Below are 20,419 nucleotides of genomic sequence, written 5' to 3' on the forward strand. Positions count from 1 at the left end.
GTGAGCGTTTTAACATCATCAGCTTTCATTATGCTCTGTGGCCAACCACACCTATGCATTTTAAGATAAAGAAAGTTAAACGCTCCCTACGTAACTGTGGACCCGCCGAAGAGGGAAATAAACAGGGCCACTGACCTTCCCCTTGTCTCACTCCACAGAAATCCTATAGTTTCATGTCAAGTCCGCCAGTGCTTAATGGGGCTCTGATGATGCGCAGAGCATTGTGCAAAGCACTCCTGTGACGCCTCGGGCCCCCCCGGGCTGCTGTCCTACCTGGACCTCCCGGCCTCTTTGGGAGCTCTGGGCCTTCCAGGAAAGCAGGGTTGCCAGAAAACTCTGAACTAATTTCAGCTTTTCCTCCCAGTGTGCTTTGGCGTGGCTCTGCCTGGACTTCAGGGAGTTCCCTCCTGATTCAGTAGGAAGTCTTGATACAAATATAGAATATTAATGAAGAAATCAAGTCTCATTTCTAGTCAACGTGCCTGACTCATTTCCCTGTGCTCTGTGCCCCCAAAGAACCTCCACTAGAAAGCTTCCTTTCATTCACACAGACATTCGAGGAGCTTTTCCTTCATGCTTCACAGGGTCACTCATGGGCACGTCCGTACCTCCTTCCCTGGGTCCTAGAGTATTCTTCCCTGGATGCAGCTTGGCCAAGGAGATGAGTGGTAAAGAGTCCAGTAATTATTCATCCAATAAATATTTATGGAGTCCTCACTGAGTGTCACATACAATGTTAAGATGGGGATGTCTGGGCATGGTGCCTCACGCCTGTAATCCCAGCACTTTGGGAGGCCAAGGCAGGCGGCTCACTTGAGTTCAGGAGTTCGAGACCAGCCTGATCAACATGGCAAAAACTCTACTAAAAATACAAAAATTAGCCGGCAGGGTGGTCAGCTACTCGGGAGGCTGACGCATGAGAATCGCTTGAACCTGGGAAGTGGAGGCTGCAATGAGCTGAGATCACAACAGAGTGAGAAACTGTCTCAAAAAAAAACAGCAATGAGCCAAAGAGATGCTTAGGGTCCCTCCCTTCAGGACACTTCCAATCTAACAAATACCACGCAGAGAGTATTTGGCGAACAGTAGAGAAATAGTCACACAGATACATATGGAGTTCAGAGTCACACGTGCAGGAAGGCAGGTACGGGGAGAGACTGTGATAAGGAAACTGAATTTAAGAGGATAGGATCAGGAGACATGCTATGGAAAAAATGACATTTCAGGCCGGGCGCAGTGCCTCACGCCTGTAATCCCAGCATTTTGGGAGGCCGAGGCAGGCAGATCACCTGAGGTCAGGAGTTTGAGACCAGCCTGGCCAACAGAATGAAACCCCAACTCTACTAAAAATATAAAAATTGCCCGGGCATGGTGGCATGCGCCTTTAGTCCCGGCTACTCAGAAGACTGAGGCAGGAGAATCACTTGAAGTCCCAGCGACTCAGGAGGCTGAGGTTGAACCCAGGAGGCGGTGGTTACAGTGAGCCGAGATGGCACCACTGCAATCCAGCCTGGGCAACAGAGACTCGGTCTCAAAAAAAATAATAATAAATAATAAATGAAGCTGAGGTGTCATAGGATCTAAATTATGCTTTTAAAATATTGTTCTGGATGGAGAATGGACTGGAGAAGAACAGAGTCAGGAGACCACCAAGGTCACTATTGTGATTTATATTGTCGGTTACTTAGGTTCTGTCGTGGCTTGCGCTAGAGGGCTGGTGGCAGAGATGGACAGGAGCAGATGGTTTGGAGGTATATTTTGAAGATGAGTTGACAGGGATTGCTCATGGATTGGATGTGGGGATGAGGTTGAAGGAGGAATTGGGATGGCCTTAAGGATTCTGGCTTGGGCAACTGATAGATGGGGGTGCTGCTTACTGAAATGGGAAGGTGAGAAGAGAGGTATACGTTGGAGAAAGATGAGTGGATTTTGTGATGTCAGTGAGGCATCTAACACAGACAGAAATGAGTCTGGAGCTTAGGTGAGAGATCTGGGAGACCAATTTGAGAGTATTTGGCGAATAGGAGATTTAAAAATCCTGGGGATGGATGAGAGGAAGAAAGCATGAAATATAAATGGGAAAGGGGTTCAAGTCTGAGCCTTCAAGGATGGCAGCATATGGAGATCAGGTTGAATCTAAAAGAATCAGGAGTCTAAAAGAATTGGCCAGAAAGTTAGGAGGAAAACACAGAAATGCACCAAGGAATGCAAGTTTCAAGAGGAGGAGAGTGACCAGAGGTGCTGAATGCTGCCAAGAGATCGAGTAGGAAGAGAATGGAAAACTGTCCGCTGGAGCAGTTCTCAACTGGGGGTGATTATTGCCTCACGAGGATGCTTGGCAATGCCTATAGACATTCTTGGTTGTCAAAACATAGGAGGTGCTACTGGTATCTAGAGTGTAGAGGCCAGGGATACTGCTAAAATCCTCTACAGCACAGAAAGCCCCTCACAACAAAGAATTATCTGGCTCCAGCTGGGCGCGGTGGCTCACGCCTATAATCCCAGCACTTTGGGAGGCCGAGGCAGGTGAATCACAAGGTCAGGAGTTCAAGACCAGCCTGGCCAACATGGTGAAACCTCGTTTCTTCTAAAAATTCAAAAAATTAGCCGGCCATGGTGGTAGGTGCCTGTAATTCCATCTACTCGTGAGGCTGAGGCAGGAGAATCACTTGAACCCAGGAGGCCGAGATTGCGCTACTGCACTCCAGCCCAGGCGACAGTGCGAGACTCCGTTTCAAAAAAAAAAAAAAAAAAAAAAGCATTATCTGGCTCCAAATGTCCATAGTGCCAAGGCTGGGAAGCCTTGTTCTACAGGAAGAGGTGATTGAAGATGGATGGAACTCTGGATTCAGCTTTGACGCTCAGGGCCACCCCTGGCCCGCCCTGGAGTCTTACGGTTACTAAATGGATGCGGGAGAAGGGGCCCCATAGGGCTGAGCCCTGCACATTCATCATCCATTGTGTGACCTCCCAGGGGATCTGCTGGCATCTGGAACAGGTGGAATTCCTCCTCCGTGGACCTGGCAGCCGGACCACAAAGGGCTATAGGTACCACTGGGAGCCTGCAATAAAATCTTAGAAAAAGCATTCCCCCAGGGGCGACTCCCTCGTAACCCCAGCCCCATCACCTTCAACAGGCCAGAATACAGACTGCAGTCTGAACCCACCCAAAGGAAGAGGGGTGAGTTTCCTGGGCTGTTTTGGTGGTTGTGTCTACTGTAAACACACCAGGGACTGGGAATAAGAGGAACAACCGATTCAGAAGGCAAACCATTTCCAAACAAATGTCTAACTGGCACACTGTAGATAATTAACACCCTCCACCCCACCACAGGAGTTTCCTTCTAAAATGAAATCTGACCTTGTTCTTTGCTTGAAACCCCTCACTGGCCCTCCTTTAGAGTTCAGCTCACACAGGACTCCCCCTTTCTGAGTTTTCCTGGGCATGCCCCCACCACTGCTGGTCTGGAGGCAGCAAAGTTCTGGTCCGTGGCTTCTAGATCATGCTAGGTTATGCTAGCTCATCACTATGGCATGAGCTCTGCGAAGACAAGAGCTGGCTCTTTCCCAGCCGCTGCCACAGCACCAGTGCTTAGCAGGCGCTCACTCAATGGTTGCTGAATGAATGAGTGAAGGCAAGGGACTTTGCTTTTTTTCTTCCAGCAGTGACAATTTCAGAGCAACCGCTATCAAAGAAAATGAATTCGTTGCCATTAAGCAAGCAGTTGTGAATCAGAGTTCCTTTTTTTTTTTAATCGGAGGCATCCAGCTCCATGGGCCTTTTCTTCCCATCCATCTTTGTAAGTTGACGATGTCAGCGTCCTAAATAGAAACGCTCTTTATGTGAGGAAGCCGGATGCTGATGGGCCGAATCTGTTCCTGGATTTTTTTGATGCTGATGAACCCAGACCAGGGTTATCTGGGTTGCTCCTCTCCACTCAGCTACTGTTGCACACACACACGGCCATCCAGGCCAAAGGAGGGGATGAAAGCACTTTCCTTTCTTTTTCCATTTCTCCCTGGAAACCTTTGAGCCACACAATCAAGACTGCCTCTCTCATGAAGGTGACCAGAGCTTGGAGTTTTCCACTGGGTGCCCTCTGCCCGATGGCCCTCGTGCCATCGCCACTAACCGGGGACTCAGAAGCATGCTTTGGGGATTCAGGACCAGCTGATAGCCCAGCTCTGTGCTTTCCTTATTCTCATTTTTGCTGTGTTGCTGTTTCCTGTTAGGGCCTGAACTTCAGCTCTCAAAAACCTCTTAGCTTCAAGTTTGTTCTCATAGTCATTAATGGACTCTGCAGGGCAGTGCCGTATTGTGGGGTGGGGGTGGGGGAGGAATTAGTGTGATTTTTTTCAGGCAGAGAGAGCCCCTCCATTAGTCACACAGACCACTGAGACCCTGCCCGCCCATAAGAGTCATAAAGCTGTTTGCACCATGTCACATGTAAAATGACCATCATCAACACCAAAGCAGGAAAAGGGGTGAAGCCAAAAGCTGAGCAGGTTGGACTGGTTATGTGGCTGATACATAGTGTCTTGCCGCTGCCAAGATTTTCATCCCAGCTCCTTGATGCTCTGCCAAGATTTCAAGGTGAAGATCCCAGCGGAGGAATGAGGAACTCTGCACGATAAGTTGGAGCATGCCTGCAGAGGCCACAGGCAGTGCGGCCATACCCGCAAGGCTGAGTTGGCAGTTTTGGGGTGCAAGAACAAACCTCAACTTCTAGCCTGCAGGACTAGCCCAGGCTGGAGAATCTGAAAGCCATGCTGGGAGAGATCTAACCCAGAGGCCTTTGATATTGGCTTCTAGTCAAGTTCAAGTCCAGTACTTTCTCCTCCATTCACTGCAGTAGTTCCTGAGGTCTGGCTTCCATCATGAGATGGGGAGTGACCAAAGAAAATGGCATCTATACTGGCCTCCTGGGGGCTGCCACCTGCAGCAATCTCCCCTAGACACAAATGTGTAGGGCGCGTGCAGCTTCTCAATCTTCAGACATACCTCCAGGGCAAAGGAAGGGAAAGAAAAAGGAATGTCTTTCCTAGTCAAGGAAGTAGAAGTAGAGGGTTTTGTGTGTGTGTGCTTCCTTTTTTAAATCTTCATTGATTCATGTAATGAAAAGCAAAGGAGTCTCTAGCCCAGAGGTTCTCAACTACAGGCAAATTTGTCCCTCAGGGCCATCTGGCAATATCTGGAGACATTTTTGATTGATGAAAGTGGATACGGCATGTTATGAATCCAGTCGGTAGAGGTCAGGGAGGCTACTGAACATCCAAAATGGGCCAGGTGCAGTGGCTCACACCTGTAATCCCAGCACTTTGGGGGAGGCTGAGGCGGGAGGATCACTTGAGGCCAGGATTTCAAGAACAGCCGGAGCCACACAGCAAGACCCTATTTCTACAAAAAAAAAATAAAAATAAAAATAAATTCTCTGGGCATAGTAGCATGTGCCTATAGTCCTAGCTACTCAGGAAGCTGAGATGAGAGGATCACTTGAGCCCAGACGTTTGAGGCTGCAGTGAGCCATGATCATGCCACTGCACTCCAGCCTGGGAAACAGAGCGAGACCCTGTCTCTAAAAAAGAAAAGAAAAGAATCCAAACTGCACCACAACAGAGAATTATCCAGCTCCAAAATGTCAAGTATGCCAAGATCAATAAACCCTGACATGGACCAATCCAAGGAAAGAAAACTTAGTAAAACCTACTGGTATCAAGACTCATTAATGAATTCCTTTAGTTAGCATTTACTAAGCACCTACTGAGTGCCAGCTCCACACTAAGCATTGAGGGTACAAAAACAAGATTATGTCAGCCCTCAAAGGTCCTGTCTTCTACTGCCTTTTGAATTGATCATCTTGTTACAGATGAAGCAATTTCTCATCCCCTTTATTTTGGAGGATATAAAGGCCATCTTACTAGTGATAAATACAGCATAGTAAGTTGAATAGGGGAAATTTGCAATTGTTTGTACTCAGATAGCAACAAAGGAGAAAGAATAACATGAGGCTGTCCTAGAAGCATGGGCCCCTGACGTGGCATAATTAAATGTTTTTCAGACAGAATTTGATTTTGAACTTTCCCCTTAAGTTGGGTGACTAAGTCTCCAGGTCCCTGGGTCATAGCCTTCCTGGACCAAGAACTCCTTGGCAGCCAGTTCATTGGTCCCCACAGATCTAAATATCTGTTGAATTCTCTGTTAAGGGAGAGAGAACAGAACAAAAGGAGATACATCTAGCTTTTCCAATAACTGTCAAGGGTGAGAGATTAAATGTTGTTTGCTAAGGACCGGCCCTCAGAAAGGGAACAGAGAGATCAACTAAGTAAATATTGTCATATTTAGCTGTACCCTTCGGTACAAAGAGCTTCATCCAAATCACTCGGCTCCCTCAAATGAAAAATATTTTCATTCTGGTCTACATCTTGGCCTTTGAGGGTGGTAAAGATTTTCCGTTACCTCTAATGGCCAGATTTAACACAGCTGCCTCATGCCGGGGTACATCGTTAAGTTCACTTGGTTGTGCTGTTATTATCTTTTTTTTTTTCCCGTTTCCCTCAAGTCCATCTGTTTCTTTCTGAGAGTAACGCAGCTGTTTTGCAGTGGGTTCCAACTTACTGGGGCCTGCATGCTTCTTGGAAAATAAGAGGACTTGATGACATCACTGGGATGGGGAGAAGTCCCTGCTGCCAAAGGGGTCCCTGGTGGGAGCCTCTAAAACTGGAGGGAGAGGGAGGAAGCCTGCAAAGGAGACACAAGAGAAGGGTCCTCAGCAGCTGCCGCATCGCGGGCCCTGAGCCCTCTCCCCTTCCAGGGTCTGGATGATGCCAGTGCTGTTAGAAATTGAGAGAGAAGGCCAGGCACAGTGGTCCACACCTGTAATCCCAGCACTTTGGGAGGCCGAGGCAGGCGGATCACTTGAGGTCAGGAGTTCGAGACCAGCCTGGCCAACATGGTGAAACTCCATCTCTACTAAAAATACAAAAATTAGCCACGTATGGTGGCGGGCACCTGTAATCCCAGCTACTCAGGAGGCTGAGGCAGGAGAATCACTTGAACCCAGGAGGCGAAGCTTGCAGTGAGCCAAAGATGGTGCCACTGTACTCCAGCCTGGGTGACAGAGCGAGACTCTGTTGAAAAAGAAAAAAAAAAAAAAAAAAAAGAGGCCGGGCACAGTGGCTCACACCTGTAATCCTAGCACTTTGGGAGGCCGAGGCAGGCAGATTGCCTGAGCTCAGGAGTTCGAGACCAGCCAGGACAACATGGTGAAAACCCATCTCTACTAAAATACAAAAAATTAGCCGGGTGTGGTGGCACATGCCTGTAACCCCAGCTACTCCGGAGGCTGAGGCAGGAGAATCGTTTGAACCCGGAAGGCAAAGGTTGCAGTGAGCTGAGATCACACCATTGCAGTCCAGGCTGGGTGACAGGGCCAGACCCTGTCTCAAAAAAAAAAGAAACCCATGATCTGGTTGGGAGGATATGGTATAATGACACAAATGCTAAGTGACAGTACGGAGCAAGGCAGCAAGAGAAATACATTCACACAGTCATGTGTGATCTACTTTCCTCAAACTTGTACACATAGTCATCCTCAGAGGATTCCCAGGACTAGTCAGGGAAGACTTTACAGCAGAGATGGAATCTGAGCTGGGCCTTAAAAACATAATAGGTTTATGTTTATTTTTTGCTCATAAATTAATACATGATCCTTGTAAAAAAAATTCCGACATGATACAAACACAAAACAGAGCAAATCTCCTATGATCCCTCATCACAGACATCGCTGTTAAAGTTGGTGTTTATACTTAAACATAATGCATAAATAGTATTATTTTATAAAACTAAACTCACACTATGCACACCATCTCGCAACATGCATTATTTCACTAACCACATAAGCTTGCCATTTTTCTGTGCAGCACACGCCTGTCTAGTGAGTTTTAGGTGGCCGGATAATATGCCAGTGAAGGCCAGGTTCAGTGGCTCACGCCTGTAATCCCAGCACTTTGGGAGGCCAAGGCAGGCAGATCGCTTAAGGTCAGAAGTTCCAGACCCACCTAGGCAACATGGCAAAACCCCATCTCTATAAAAAATACAAAAATTAGCCGGGTGTGATGGCACATGCCTGGAGTACCAGCTACTCTGGAGACTGAGGGAAGAGGATCACTTGAGCCCAGGAGTCGGAGGCTGCTGCAGTGAGCTGAGATCCCGGGCAGCAGAGCAAGACCCTACCTCAAAATAATAATAATAATAATAATAATAATAATAATAATAATAAGCGAGTGTACGGTGGTGCCATGTGTACATCATTCTCCATTTGATGGACATTTAGGGTGTTTCCATTCTTATTATGGTACTGCAAGAAACAGCCATAGATATATTTTGAGAGTTGTTCTAACGTCTCTGTAGAATAAATCTAAAAGTGAAAGTGTTGAGTCAATGGACATATGGGTTGAGATTTTCCTAGATATAACAAAATTGCCCACACCCTGCGGCTACATTAAATTGCCCCTGACTCACACTTGGATGGGAGCAAACTCAGGTCTGAAGATGTGTGAGATGGAATGGACAGTGTAGTGAATGGCTGAAAATGAGGAGTCTCAGTGCATGGTCAAGGGTCAGTGAGGCACAAGGGAAAAACATTGAGTACCAAGTCAATGAATTTGGACTTTATTCTGCAGGTCGCAGAGAGTCTTCAAAGCAGGGGTCACCAAAAATAAAAAATTCCGTTGGCCAAGAAAAAAGAAAAAGCAGGGGTTATCAGCAACCGTGCAAGGGGACTCTACCTGTGACCTCACCAGAGGGGCTGACTGTCTTGTGGGGATGGTGAGGGCAAGCTCCTGGGTGCCCAGAGGTTTAGGACCCTTCAAATCCATCAACCTACATCCTTCCCTCTTCTGCTACCCCCTTTCATGAACAAATTGCCCTCAGCCATCTTGACAACAATAAGATTTTATTAATGAATAGGAACATTTGGAAATAAAAAGGTGTTAAACAGTAGTCCAGTTCTCAACAACCCTGGCTGCACCATTTTCAGACCAATAATTGGCATGGCAACTCACTTCCCAAGGAACAATGAGGTGTTCTTTTTCAGACCTCATTCCTTCCAAACCCGGGAAAGATAAGACGCCAAGTCTCGCTGAAGCACCGTGCCTAGTGCTGATTTTAAAAGCCACTGCTGTTCTCTTGGCCTAATAATGCGAAGCTACCTCAGCATTTGGATCAAACCCCATTTTTACTGGGATTACTACAAAAAATGATAGTGCCCAACTTCATCCTAGAGAAAGAGTTTTCATTTTTTTTTTTAATTTTTCAAGGGGAAAAAAACCATTTAAACTGCTGCAGTAATTGGCATGAATGATGTTCCCCAGAACTCAGTGTTCAGAGCAGCAGTTGCAAATCCTACCAATTGAATTTGGTAGTGAAATGCCAGACCAAGTAGGTCAAACAAAATCAAGGCATATGAATTCCTAAATGCCAGATCAAAAGCAGAGAATCTAAGTCTCTGCCAGGAGTGCAGTTGCTGATTGTGGCATTGTGGGTCATTGAATCAATAGAAAGAGCCCTTGGGGGCCAGGTGCAGTGGCTCACGCCTGTAATCCCAGCACTTTGGGACGCCAAGGCAGGCAGATCACTTGAGGTCAGGAGTTCGAGACCATGGCAAAACCCTGTCTACTAAAAATACGAAAATTAGCTGGGCATGGCGGCACGCACCTGTAGTCCTAGGTACTAGGGAGGCTGAGGCACGAGAATTGCTTGAATCCGGGAGGCGGAGGTGGCAGTGAGCTGAGATCGCGCCACTGCACTCCAGCCTGGACAACAGAGTGAGACTTTGTCTCAAAAAAGAAAGAAAGAAAGAACCCTTGGGGAAATCACCCTATCACCCTATATCCCAAAAGGAACAGACCAGGGAGGGAAGAATTCATCCAAGCAAAACATTCATGGAAGGGAGAAACAGTTGGGCTTTTCATAGAGGGATCTGTGCAAAAGATAACCCCTAGAACCTATGAATTGGGATTCCCAACTTGTGTGCTCTGTGTCTAGATGATTCAGCCCTAATGTGGTGAGGGCCCTGGCTCTGGGAGCCTCCCAGGCGGTCACAGCCACTGCATTTGATCATCATCAATTCTGTGTCTGAGTCCCTCCCTCCCTTCCAAAGAATGGACAGATGGACAGATGGGATGGAGAAGTGAGATGACGTCAAAGGCAAGGCATGGAAAGTGACCAGCACAGTCCCTGGCACACAGTAAGCATTTCATAAGTGTTCCCTTCTCTCTGCTTTGACCCTGGCTTCGAGCTCTGCAGATGGGTTGCAGGAATGGTGGCTCCGTGGAAACCATGTGTCTTTGGAAAGTGGCCACCGTGAGTGGCGTCACAGGAGTTTGTTTGCGTGTCGCTTTTCCCTTGTCGGTGTGAGTGGAGAACAGGAGCAGAGGTGTGATACCAATAGCTCCAGCTCTCAGGATCATGGGATCCTCCGCCGGCTCAGCAAGATCCTGCAGAAGTTACAGCCATTTGTGCTGCTGAGACTTTTCAAAAAAAATGTGTTATTGCCTCTGTTATGGTTTAACCTGAATTCCGGATGGCACGTGTCTCTGCTACTTCACCTCGAAGAAACCTTAGAAGTTACATTTGCTGTTTGTTTTGTGCCAAGTCTGGGCCATCTGTGGCACTGCAGTGCCGGGATGGTACCCAAGGCAGTATTGCCATGCTATCTCTGTCTGCCACGAGCCTTCTTACAGCTGTACTATAGAAAACTAACATTTAAGACTTTCAAAGAAGGAAGCAAGAGCTGAAGGGCCCAAGGCTCTCAGCCAGGAGTGAACAGATACAACAAGCTCTTCTTCAGTTCCATCTCATGGAGAACTTCCCTCTGTAATTTTTTTTTTTTTTTTTTTTTTTTTTTGAGACAGAGTCTCACTCTGTCACCCAGGCTGGAGGGCAGTGTCACAATTTCAGCTCACTGCAACCTCTGCCTCCTGGGTTCAAGCGATTCTCCTGCCTCAGCCTCCTGAGTAGCTGGGACTACAGGTGCACGCCACCACGCCCAGCTAATTTTTGTATTTTTAGTAGAGACAGGGTTTCACCACGTTGGTCAGGCTGCTCTCGAACTCCTGACTTCAGGTGATCCACTCGCCAAAGTGCTGGGATTACAGGCGTGAGCCAATGCACCTGGCCCTGCTCTGTTCTTTCAAGAAAACAGGCAATGAGTCCACACAAGTTGCTCATAACTGGGGCCAGCCACATCAGCCCCTGCTGTTTTTAGTCTTATTAAAGTAAAACACCAGAACTTCTTGGCCCTTAGAACAGAGTTCCCAAATCAGGTCAGCATCACCCAGGGAGGTTTTGAAAACTGGAGATATCCGGGTCCCACCTTAGACCAACCCAACCAGACTCAACTGGTCTGGGACCCAAGAATCAGTGTGTAAATGCACCAGGTTTGGGAAAATGGCCTCAGAGCAGAGCTTCCCATCTTTTTTCATGCCTTGACAGGTAGGAAGTGTTTCGTTTTGGCCAGGCGCGGTGGCTCATGCCTGTAATCCCAGCACTTTGGGAGGCCGAGGCAGGCGGATCACCTGAGGTCGGGAGTTTGAGACCAGCCTGACCAACACGGAGAAACCGCATCTCTACTAAAAATACAAAAATCAGCCAGGCATGGTGGCGGGCACCTATAATCCCAGCTACTCGGGAGCCTGAGGCAGGAGAATCACTTGAACCCTGAAGGCGGAGGTTGCGGTGAGCCAAGATCGCGCCATTGCATTCCAGCCTGGGCAACAAGAGCGAAACTCCATCTCAGAAAAAAAAAAAAAAAAAAAGAGAAAGTGATTTGTTTTGATTGACACATTGAGGAGGAGCTCCTGGTTAAGATGACCAACCCCTGAGCTCAGAAGGCCCAGTCTGTTACTCAAGGGCTGCGGGAGCAATATGCCTTATCACATCTACTATCCATTCACCATAGGGAAGCTTTGCCTAAGAGAGCTCAACTTACTGAGGTCAAGGTTTTAAACCACTTTATTGTTACTTAATTTGGGGGAGGAGGGATGCAGGGGGGTTAGCAATGTAAGCCTGTAAGCCTGCCCATTCCCCGATTGTGAGAGAGGTCAGTGCCTTTGAATTTTGTTCTGTCTGTTGGGAATCTGACGCCATCTGTAGAATCAGATCCAAAGTCTTCCTTGACAGCTACTAGCGTTAATTATAACATAAGTTTGTGCAGTTTTTTTCCTAAGTTGCTTCTGATTTGGGGGTGGCTTCAGATTGACATTATTGAAGTTTATTTCCTCCACCCAAAGACTCTAGGCCGGCTGTGATTGTTCACGCCTGTAATCCCAGCACTTTGGGAGGCCAAGGCGGGTGGATCACTTGAGGCCAAGAGTTCGAGACCAGCCTGGCCAACCTGGCAAAAGCCTGTCTCTACTAAAAATACAAAAATTAGACAGGCGTGGTGGCGGGTGCCTGTAGTCCCAGCTACTCTGGAAGCTGAGGCAGGAGAATCACTTGAACCTGGGAGGTGGATGTTGCAGTGAGCCGAGATCGTACCATTTGTACTCCAGCCTGGGCAACAAGTGAGACTCTGTCTGAAAACAAAGACAAAACAAAAAAAAGACTCTGGTAGCTGTCCACCAGGTCCTCTGGCTAAATCTTCTCCAAGCCCTTTCTTTGTTTAGCACTCTAAGAATCTGCAACAATGACTATGATGTTTGAGGTGGCATTTTTCTCCTTGAGAAATAAGACCTGACAGAGCGATTGTCTGCTCCACATCTAGTTATTCAGACTCCAAATACAACTGTTCAGCTTCTGTTCCAAAAATACCCAAGAAAGAATAAGTGTTATTAAGGTGCTTGTCTTCATCTTTTATTATTAAGAGGCCCAGAGAAAGACTTATAATTACTAGCTCATTAGCTTGGGCCTTAGAATTTTCAACGAAAATTTCTCACAAAATTGCTAAACCTGGTTTTAGAAGGTATGGAACTAACTTTTGAGAAAAATAAATTCCACCATTTAGAGTCTCACTGTCGCCCAAGCTGGAGTGCAGTGATGCAACCACGGCTCACCGCAACCTCCACCCCTCCAGGCTCAAGCGATCCTCCTACCACAGCCTCCTGACTACCAGCACATGCCACCACACCAGCTATTTGTGTGTGTGGGTGTGTGTGTGTGGGTGTGTCGTGATGGGGATCTTGCAGTGTTGCCTAGGCTGGTCTCAAACTCATGGGCTCAAGTGGTCCACCTGCCTCAGCCTCCCAAAGTGCTGGGATTACAAGTACGAGCCACCACTGCACCCAGCCAACATTGTCTCCATTTTATAGATAAGGAAACTGAGGCTTAGAGAGTCTAAGTAACTGGCTGGAAGTTTCAGGAAGCCTGGATTCAAACCCCAAAGTGTCCTACCCCAAAGATTATGCTTCCCCTACACCAAGTAAGATTCCTTCAGGTAAAGCTAGACGTACAAACAACTGTTGTCTTTGGAAATCACTCTAAGAAATAGTTCCCTTCTTAAATATATCTTCCCAACCCCGAGTCTCAGTGACTAAATGATCTTAGGGAAAGACTGGTATGTAGAAAAAGAAGGGCCTTTGAGACGGTTGGTTACCTGATGTGATAGAATTCCACTCCTCATCTTTGGGGAGAAGTTTCCTCTTTACAAACATTCCAGAACATAGTGGATTGGCCAAAAGCAGCTTGGGTCTGTAAAAAAAACCAAAAACTAAAAACTAGCCATCCTCCATTAGAGAATAGAAACCTTTTATTATTTTTTTTCTTTTACACAAGGTCTCACTTTGTTGCCCAGGCTGGAGTGCAGTGGCACCATCACGACCCACTGCTGTCTTGACCTCCTGGGTTTAAGCCATTCTCCTGCCTTGGCCCCCTAAGTAGCTGGGACTACAGGTGCACACCATCACACCCAGCTAATTTTGGGTTTTTTTTTTTTTTTTTTTTTTTTTTTTTGTAGAGACGGGGTTTCACCATGTTAGGTTTCCCAGGCTGGTCTCGAGCTCCTCAGCTCTAACCATCTGCCCGCCTCAGCCTCCCAAAGATGACAGGTGTGAGCCACCACACCCAGCCCAGGAAGCTATTTTTAAAAAGAAAAAAAAAAGCCATTAGTCACCAAAGAACCCATCTACAGACCCTAATTCAGAAATATTCCTTTTCTCACTTTAGCATCCACACGATAGTCTTAGAGTTAAATAACTTGCCCAGGTTCACACAGTAGTTACTGGAGCTGAAATTCAAACCTGGGGGCAGGGCATGTGTTCTCTCACTTCAAAGCCTCCTCAGTTCATCTCTCAGTTCTGCTCCACAGATCTGAGGACCCCACAAGGTGCTCCCGGGCATGGTAAACAGTGAAATACATTGTATCAAACAGTGAAGGGAGAAACAGCCTGAAGAATCCACTCATCACTTTTACCTGCTTTATATACTGGGATTCCAAAAGTGCATTTGGAGAAACAAAATGAGTTCTGAAGCTCAAATAAGTTTGAAATCTAAAAGTGGAAATATTTTATTGTCTTCAAATTACAGACTGATTGGCTTATTGAACATCTCTACCCTGGTTTCTGTTCGACAAGTTGGAGGCCTAAATTTCCCAAAATAATACAGTACACAAGGAGCAAGCTAGACTTAGGGACAGTTAATCTGGTGCTGATCACTGTTGGCATGCTGCAACTCATCGAGATATTTGTCAGCCTATTATCAGCTTTTGATTTAATAAACTTAAGCTATCTCTAGGCCAAATTGTAGATCCTCGGTAGGAATGCAGGCTGTTAATGCCTCCCCATAGCCTTCGTCTAAAGAGCACTGCTAAAATCAGAGTGGAGAACAGCCTCAAGTTCAAAGGCTGCAAACCGAGCCAGGTTCTAATAAGCTCCCTTTATGGGAGGAGCTGGGTTCTTGGCCTCTCACTGTCTCATGTATTAAGGTGGGGTCCTCTCCAGTGTGCCCTTGAATGACCTTATTGCTTTTGATTAGAGGTTACCTTGAACTATACTCATATTGCCAAACGGAACAGGTTAGTGTTCTGCAACAGGATGTTAGGGAGACAGCTCTTGTTGCTCTGGAACTGGGAACCAGGCCCAAAGCTGGGGACAAAGAGGAATTGGGACTCCACATTCACCAGGCAGCTGCTAATCACCAGTGGCCCAGATGACCCTCTTCCCACAGCTCTGGTTGCCCCTATCTTCCCCTTCCCTAGGCCCTATGTGGAGATGAAGGAGGGGAGTTTGTAGTCATTGGGAGTATACTTCTTGCCTCACCCCAATCCCATGTGACAGGAGTAGTATTCTGAGAGAATCAACTACAGTAGCTGGGGCATCTGCAAAAAAAAGCTGGCTATAGGCCCAGTGCAGTGGCTCTAATCCCAGCACTTTGGGAGGCCAAGGCGGGAGGATCACTTGAGGCCAGGAGTTTGAGACCAGCCCAGACAATATAGCAACAGCCCATCTACAAAATATTTTTAAAAATTAGCTGGGCCCAGTGGCACATGCCTGTGGTCTTAGCTACTCAGGAAGCTGAGGTGGGAGGATTGCTTGAGCCTAAGAGTTCAAGGCTGCAGTGAGCCATGATTGCACCACTGCACTCCAGCCTGGGTGACAGAGTGAGACCCTGACACACACACAAAAAATAGTTGACTGTTTGCTGAGCCGGGAACTTGCAGGCCCACCCTCAATGCTGCCATCCTGCAAGACTTGGGTGATACTAATAAGTGTCCCCAAAAGCTTGCAGAGGAACGTAGAGATTGCACCTGCTGCCCATCTGGAAATTTCTAAAGGAGTTTTTGAAGGAGCCCATGGCTAGGGCTGAGATGGAACCATGGGAGTGTGAGCTTGGGAATAGCACGGGGGCATCCCCTTGGGCATTATTGAAAATGCAGGTAATAGTGGGCTACTTTTAGTAGCTTGCTTATGAGAATTCTGGGGTGTTTTCTGTGTCTCCAACCAGTTCAATTCTCCAGCACCAGCTATGTGTCCAACAATTCAATTCAATTAGACACTGTCTATCTGGAGTTAGCATCAGATCCCAGTCCCACAAAGCTGCCCCACTTCTCACTGACAGGCTATAGGCCGGGCACAGTGGCTCATTCCTACAATCCCAGCACTTTGGGAGGCCAAGGCAGGTGGATCACTTGAGGCCAGGAGTTCGAGACTAGCCTGGCCAACAGAGTGAGACTCCATCTCTATTTTTTTTACTAAAAAAAATTTTTTTTTTAATCTGGGGTCTCCACGACTCCTTCCTCAGGCTCAATAATTTGCTAGAAAGGCTCACAGAACTCAGGAAAACATTTACTTAGATTTACCAGTTTATTATCAAGGATATGACTCAGCAGCAGGTAAATGGGAGAGAGGCATCAGGTGAGGTATTGGGGGGTGGGGACTTGGGGCTTCCGTGCCCCCTCTGGGTGTGCCATCCTCCCAGCAGGTCAGTGTGTTTAAGCGTTTATGGAGCTCAATCCCAGCACCCCCTCCCTCCCTAGAGGTCAGTGGATGGGGCTGAAAGTTCTAACCCCCTAATCACCTGGTGTTTCTGGTGACCAGAGCCATCTTGAGGCCATCTAGGGCCCCTCACCTGTGTATGTGATCTGAAGGAGCTTGTTATGCATCCCAAAAGTCACCCCCATCACTCAGGAAATTCCAGGAGTTTTTGGAGCATTGTCTTAGGAAGCAGTGACAAAAACCAAATCTATTTTGTATTACATCACAAGGATGAAATGAGAAAGCGAATCTGAAGTGCCTGACACAGACTCTGGTACGGAGCAAGCACTTGAAAACGTTAGCTCCTAGGGTGATTTTTCCCAGCTTCCTTCCTTGACTTTCCTCTGGCCACCTCTCTTGCAAGTTCTCATTTGCTTTCATCTTCTCCCCAGTTCCTAAAAGGCATCCTGGGGGCTAGAAACCATAGGCTTTTTTTTTTTTTTTTTTTTTTTTTGAGATGGAACCTTGCTCTGTCTCCCAGGCTGGAGTGCAGTGGTGCGATCTCAGCTCACTGCAACCTCTGCCTCTCGGGTTTAAGCGATTCTCCTGCCTCAGCCTCCTGAGTAGCTGGGACTACAGGCATGCGCCACCATGCCTGGCTAAATTTTTTGGATTTTTAGTAGAGACGGGGTTTCACCATGTTGGTCAGGCTGATCTCCAACTCCTGACCTCAAAAGATCCGCCCTCCTTGGCCTCCCAAAGTGTTGGGATTACAGGTGTGAGCCACGGCGCCTGGCCAAAACCATGGACTATTACATTGTTTTGTGTGATGTGCTCAAATTTCTCATTTGCCTCGTCCCTCTTCTTAAAGCAATGAGTTTCAAGTGTTTGTGGCACTGAACTATAACTGAGAAGGGTACAAAACAGAAACATTCCCCTTGCCACAGCTGCCTTTCAGTGCCTTTCTACACATCAGATGCACCTTATGAGTCAAACTCCTTTAAGAGAGTCATTTTGCAGAGAAAAAACACAAACCGCTCAGGGTTTGCGGTGCATTCTAGTGCCAAGAGCAAATGCTTTAAAAATAGCACTTTAGGTATTAACTGCTAACAAAGCAAGAATTGACTGCTTCTGGCATGATTTGCATTTAGGGTTTTGGTTTGTTTTTTTTTAAGTTGATGCATAGCAGTTGACCTTTTAAGTCAAGTTTTAGGTCAGTTCTCCAGCACATTCTGAAAGCTCCTTAGTTTTGTCTCTTTTTTAAAAAACAGCTTTATTGGCTGGGCACAATAGCTCACCACTGTAATCCCAGCACTTTTGGAGGCCAAGGCGGGTGGATCACCTGAGGTCAGGAGCTTGAGACCAGCCTGGCCAACATGGCGAAACCCCATCTCTACTAAAAATACAAAAATCAGCCGGGTGTGCTGGCACGTGCTTGTAATCCCAGCTACTTGGGAGGCTGAGACAGGAGAATTGCTGGAACTTGGGACGTGGTGGTTGCAGTGAGCCGAGATTGCACCATTGCTCTCTAGCCCAGGTGACAGAATGAGACTCCGTCTAAAAAAAAAACCCAAAAAAACAGCTTTATTGAGATATAGATCACATACCATACAATTCAGCCATTTTGAATGTATAGTTCAGTGGATTTTACTATAATCACATGTTTACCTCACCACAATCAAATGTAAAACATTTTCATCACCCCACAAAGAAACCTCATATGTTTTAGCTATCATCTCCCTACCCTCTCCCCTCACCCATCTCCCAAGCCTCAGCAACCACACTGATCTACTTTCTGTCTCCATAGATTTCCCTTTTCTGGGCATTTCATATGAATAGGGTCACTTAATAAGTGGTCTTTGGGGACTAGCTGCTTTGAAAGCTCCTTGGTTTTATGTGTATCCCTCTTAAGATTCAAGTTCAAGGAATCCTACATTAATTCAGGGCTAAACTTTACTTTCATTGGAGGGGAATGAGAATGAGATCTGCAACACCTTGGAGTCTTCAGGAGAAGTTCCAGGATGGAGAGAAAAAAATCTGACATGTGATATGTGTTGTTCATCCATCCCTATTTTAGGGCTGAGGGTTATAGTTACATAATGTAGCAATTCCTGGCTGGAGTTCCTGCTTAGCCTTTTTTCATTTAGCATTTATCAAAAACTTCTCATTTCAATTAACAGGGCAAGCCCCTGTTGGCTATTGCCCTTTGTGGTTCAAATTGAGAGTGTAATTAATCATGGAGACTTCATATCTCAGTGAACGTCAGCTAATAAGATTGCCTCCAAGATGCAAGCTCAGCCCCAGCTGGACCAAGCTCTCCTGTGGGCTTCTCCTTGCACCTTCCAGGTGGGAGACTGATTCTATCCAAAACGAGGACGCAGTTTTACACGGGCTGCTCAAACAAGCCCTTTGCTCTGCCTTGTCCCAGTGCGAGATGGATGAGGCCTGCAGGTGTGGCTGATCCTATAGAGTGGACGCCTTCTAAAGATGTGCCGAAGTCCATCTGGCCCCAGGGAAACAGCCCTGGCACCAGCTCAACCCCCTCGATACAGATGGGCTTTAACTACAAGGGTCCAATTTGCCATCTGCCAAGCCTGGAGAGAATCGGTAGCATCCGGAGCCAGAGATCTCATTGTGGATGAATTTATAAAACCCTGGCTAGAAGAACTTGCAGCCCCACGCGTTCCCCACCAGCCAGCTGCCGGGCCGAGAGGAGCTGGGCAGGGCCCTTGAGGCAAGAGCATCGCTTGCAGAGAAGTTCCACATCCCCCAGCGGAGCCAGATGCCACTACTGGGGTTCGGTGCTCCGTGACCACATGAGTGAGCTGGAAGAGTGACCGCGGAACCTAGAAGACTTGCCTTGTAAAAACCTCTCTGACTCATGTTATGGGTTTGTGTCCCCCCAGAAAGCTAGGTTGACGTCCTAACCCCCAGAATGTGAACTTACTTGGGATAGGGTCTTTACAAAGGTAATCAAGTTGAAGTGAGATCATTAGGGGGACCCTAATCCAGTATGATGGGTGTCCTTATAAAAAGGAGAAATTTGGAGCTGAGTGCAGTGGCTCACGCCTATGGTCCCAGCACTTTGGGAGGTCAACGCAGGCGGATCTCTTGAGGTCAGGAGTTCAAGACCAGCCAGGCCAACATGGTGAAACCCCATCTCTACTAAAAATACAAAAATTAGCCAGGAGTGGTGGTGGGCGCCTGTAGTCCCAGCTACTCGGGAGGCTGAGGCAGGAGCATTGCTTGAACCCAGGAGGTGGAGGTTGGATGGCACCACTGCACTCCAGCCTGGGTGACACAGCAAGACTCTGTCTAAAAGAAAAAAAAGGTTGGGGGGAATTTGGACACACAGACAGACAAGCACAGAGGGAAGACGATATGAAGATGCAGTGAGAATGTGATGACTTCACTCCAGTGATGCTTCTACATGCCAAGGAACGCCCAGGGGAAAGGCATGAAACAGATTCCTCCTCACAGCCCTTGGAAGGACCAGTCCTGATGACACCTCGATTTGGGGCTTCTAGCCTCCAGTACTGTGAAACAATAAATTTCTGATGTTTAAGCCACCAGTGTGTGATTATCTTTTTGTTGTTGTTGTTGTTGTCTGTGATACTTGATACAGCAGGAAACGAATAGACTAGTGGAACCAACCCTCCACCCTAAATAGGTACGAATGAAAAACACATATCACATGTTAGATTTCTTTCTCTGCATTACGGAACTTTTCCTGAAGCCTCCAAGGTGTTGCAGATCTCATTTTCATTCCTCTCCCAATGAATGACCATTTCAACCAGGTAAAATTTAGCCCTGAGTTAATGTAGGATTTCTTGAACTTGAACCAGGGAGGAAGAGAGCCCTGCCCTGGCTTGGAAGATTACTGGAAGGAAAGGACAGCGTATGCCTCTGTATGCCTTTCAGCCCTTCACAAGGAGAGCTTGTAAGTCACCTTTAAGATGCGTGAAGGCTGCCGGACTTTGAGGCTCACCCATCCTGCCATTGGGAGGTGGCT

At 47.1% G+C, this 20,419-nt stretch overlaps 1 protein-coding gene across 3 annotated transcripts in view, besides 3 other annotated features; it reads left to right on the forward strand.

The window, feature by feature from the left end:
- The window catches only part of PITPNC1 (phosphatidylinositol transfer protein cytoplasmic 1), a 319,976-nt gene that overhangs the window by 256,265 nt on the left and 43,292 nt on the right, over window positions 1-20,419 (forward strand). The window lies entirely within an intron of this gene.
- Window positions 6,551-6,737: a silencer, noted in NCBI's record as "fragment chr17:65636212-65636398 (GRCh37/hg19 assembly coordinates)". NCBI's record gives its function as "represses an EF-1alpha promoter that drives an FKBP-Casp9 reporter gene in an ReSE screen in K562 erythroleukemia cells {active_cell/tissue: K562}" and the evidence as "EXISTENCE:reporter gene assay evidence [ECO:0000049][PMID:32094911]".
- Window positions 17,055-17,214: an enhancer, noted in NCBI's record as "active region_12628". NCBI's record gives its function as "activates an Ori minimal core promoter by ATAC-STARR-seq in GM12878 lymphoblastoid cells {active_cell/tissue: GM12878}" and the evidence as "EXISTENCE:reporter gene assay evidence [ECO:0000049][PMID:35858748]".
- Window positions 17,895-17,974: an enhancer, noted in NCBI's record as "active region_12629". NCBI's record gives its function as "activates an Ori minimal core promoter by ATAC-STARR-seq in GM12878 lymphoblastoid cells {active_cell/tissue: GM12878}" and the evidence as "EXISTENCE:reporter gene assay evidence [ECO:0000049][PMID:35858748]".

The sequence above is a fragment of the Homo sapiens genome, chromosome 17, assembly GCF_000001405.40.
Source record: "Homo sapiens chromosome 17, GRCh38.p14 Primary Assembly".
Taxonomy (NCBI): Eukaryota; Metazoa; Chordata; class Mammalia; order Primates; family Hominidae; genus Homo; species Homo sapiens.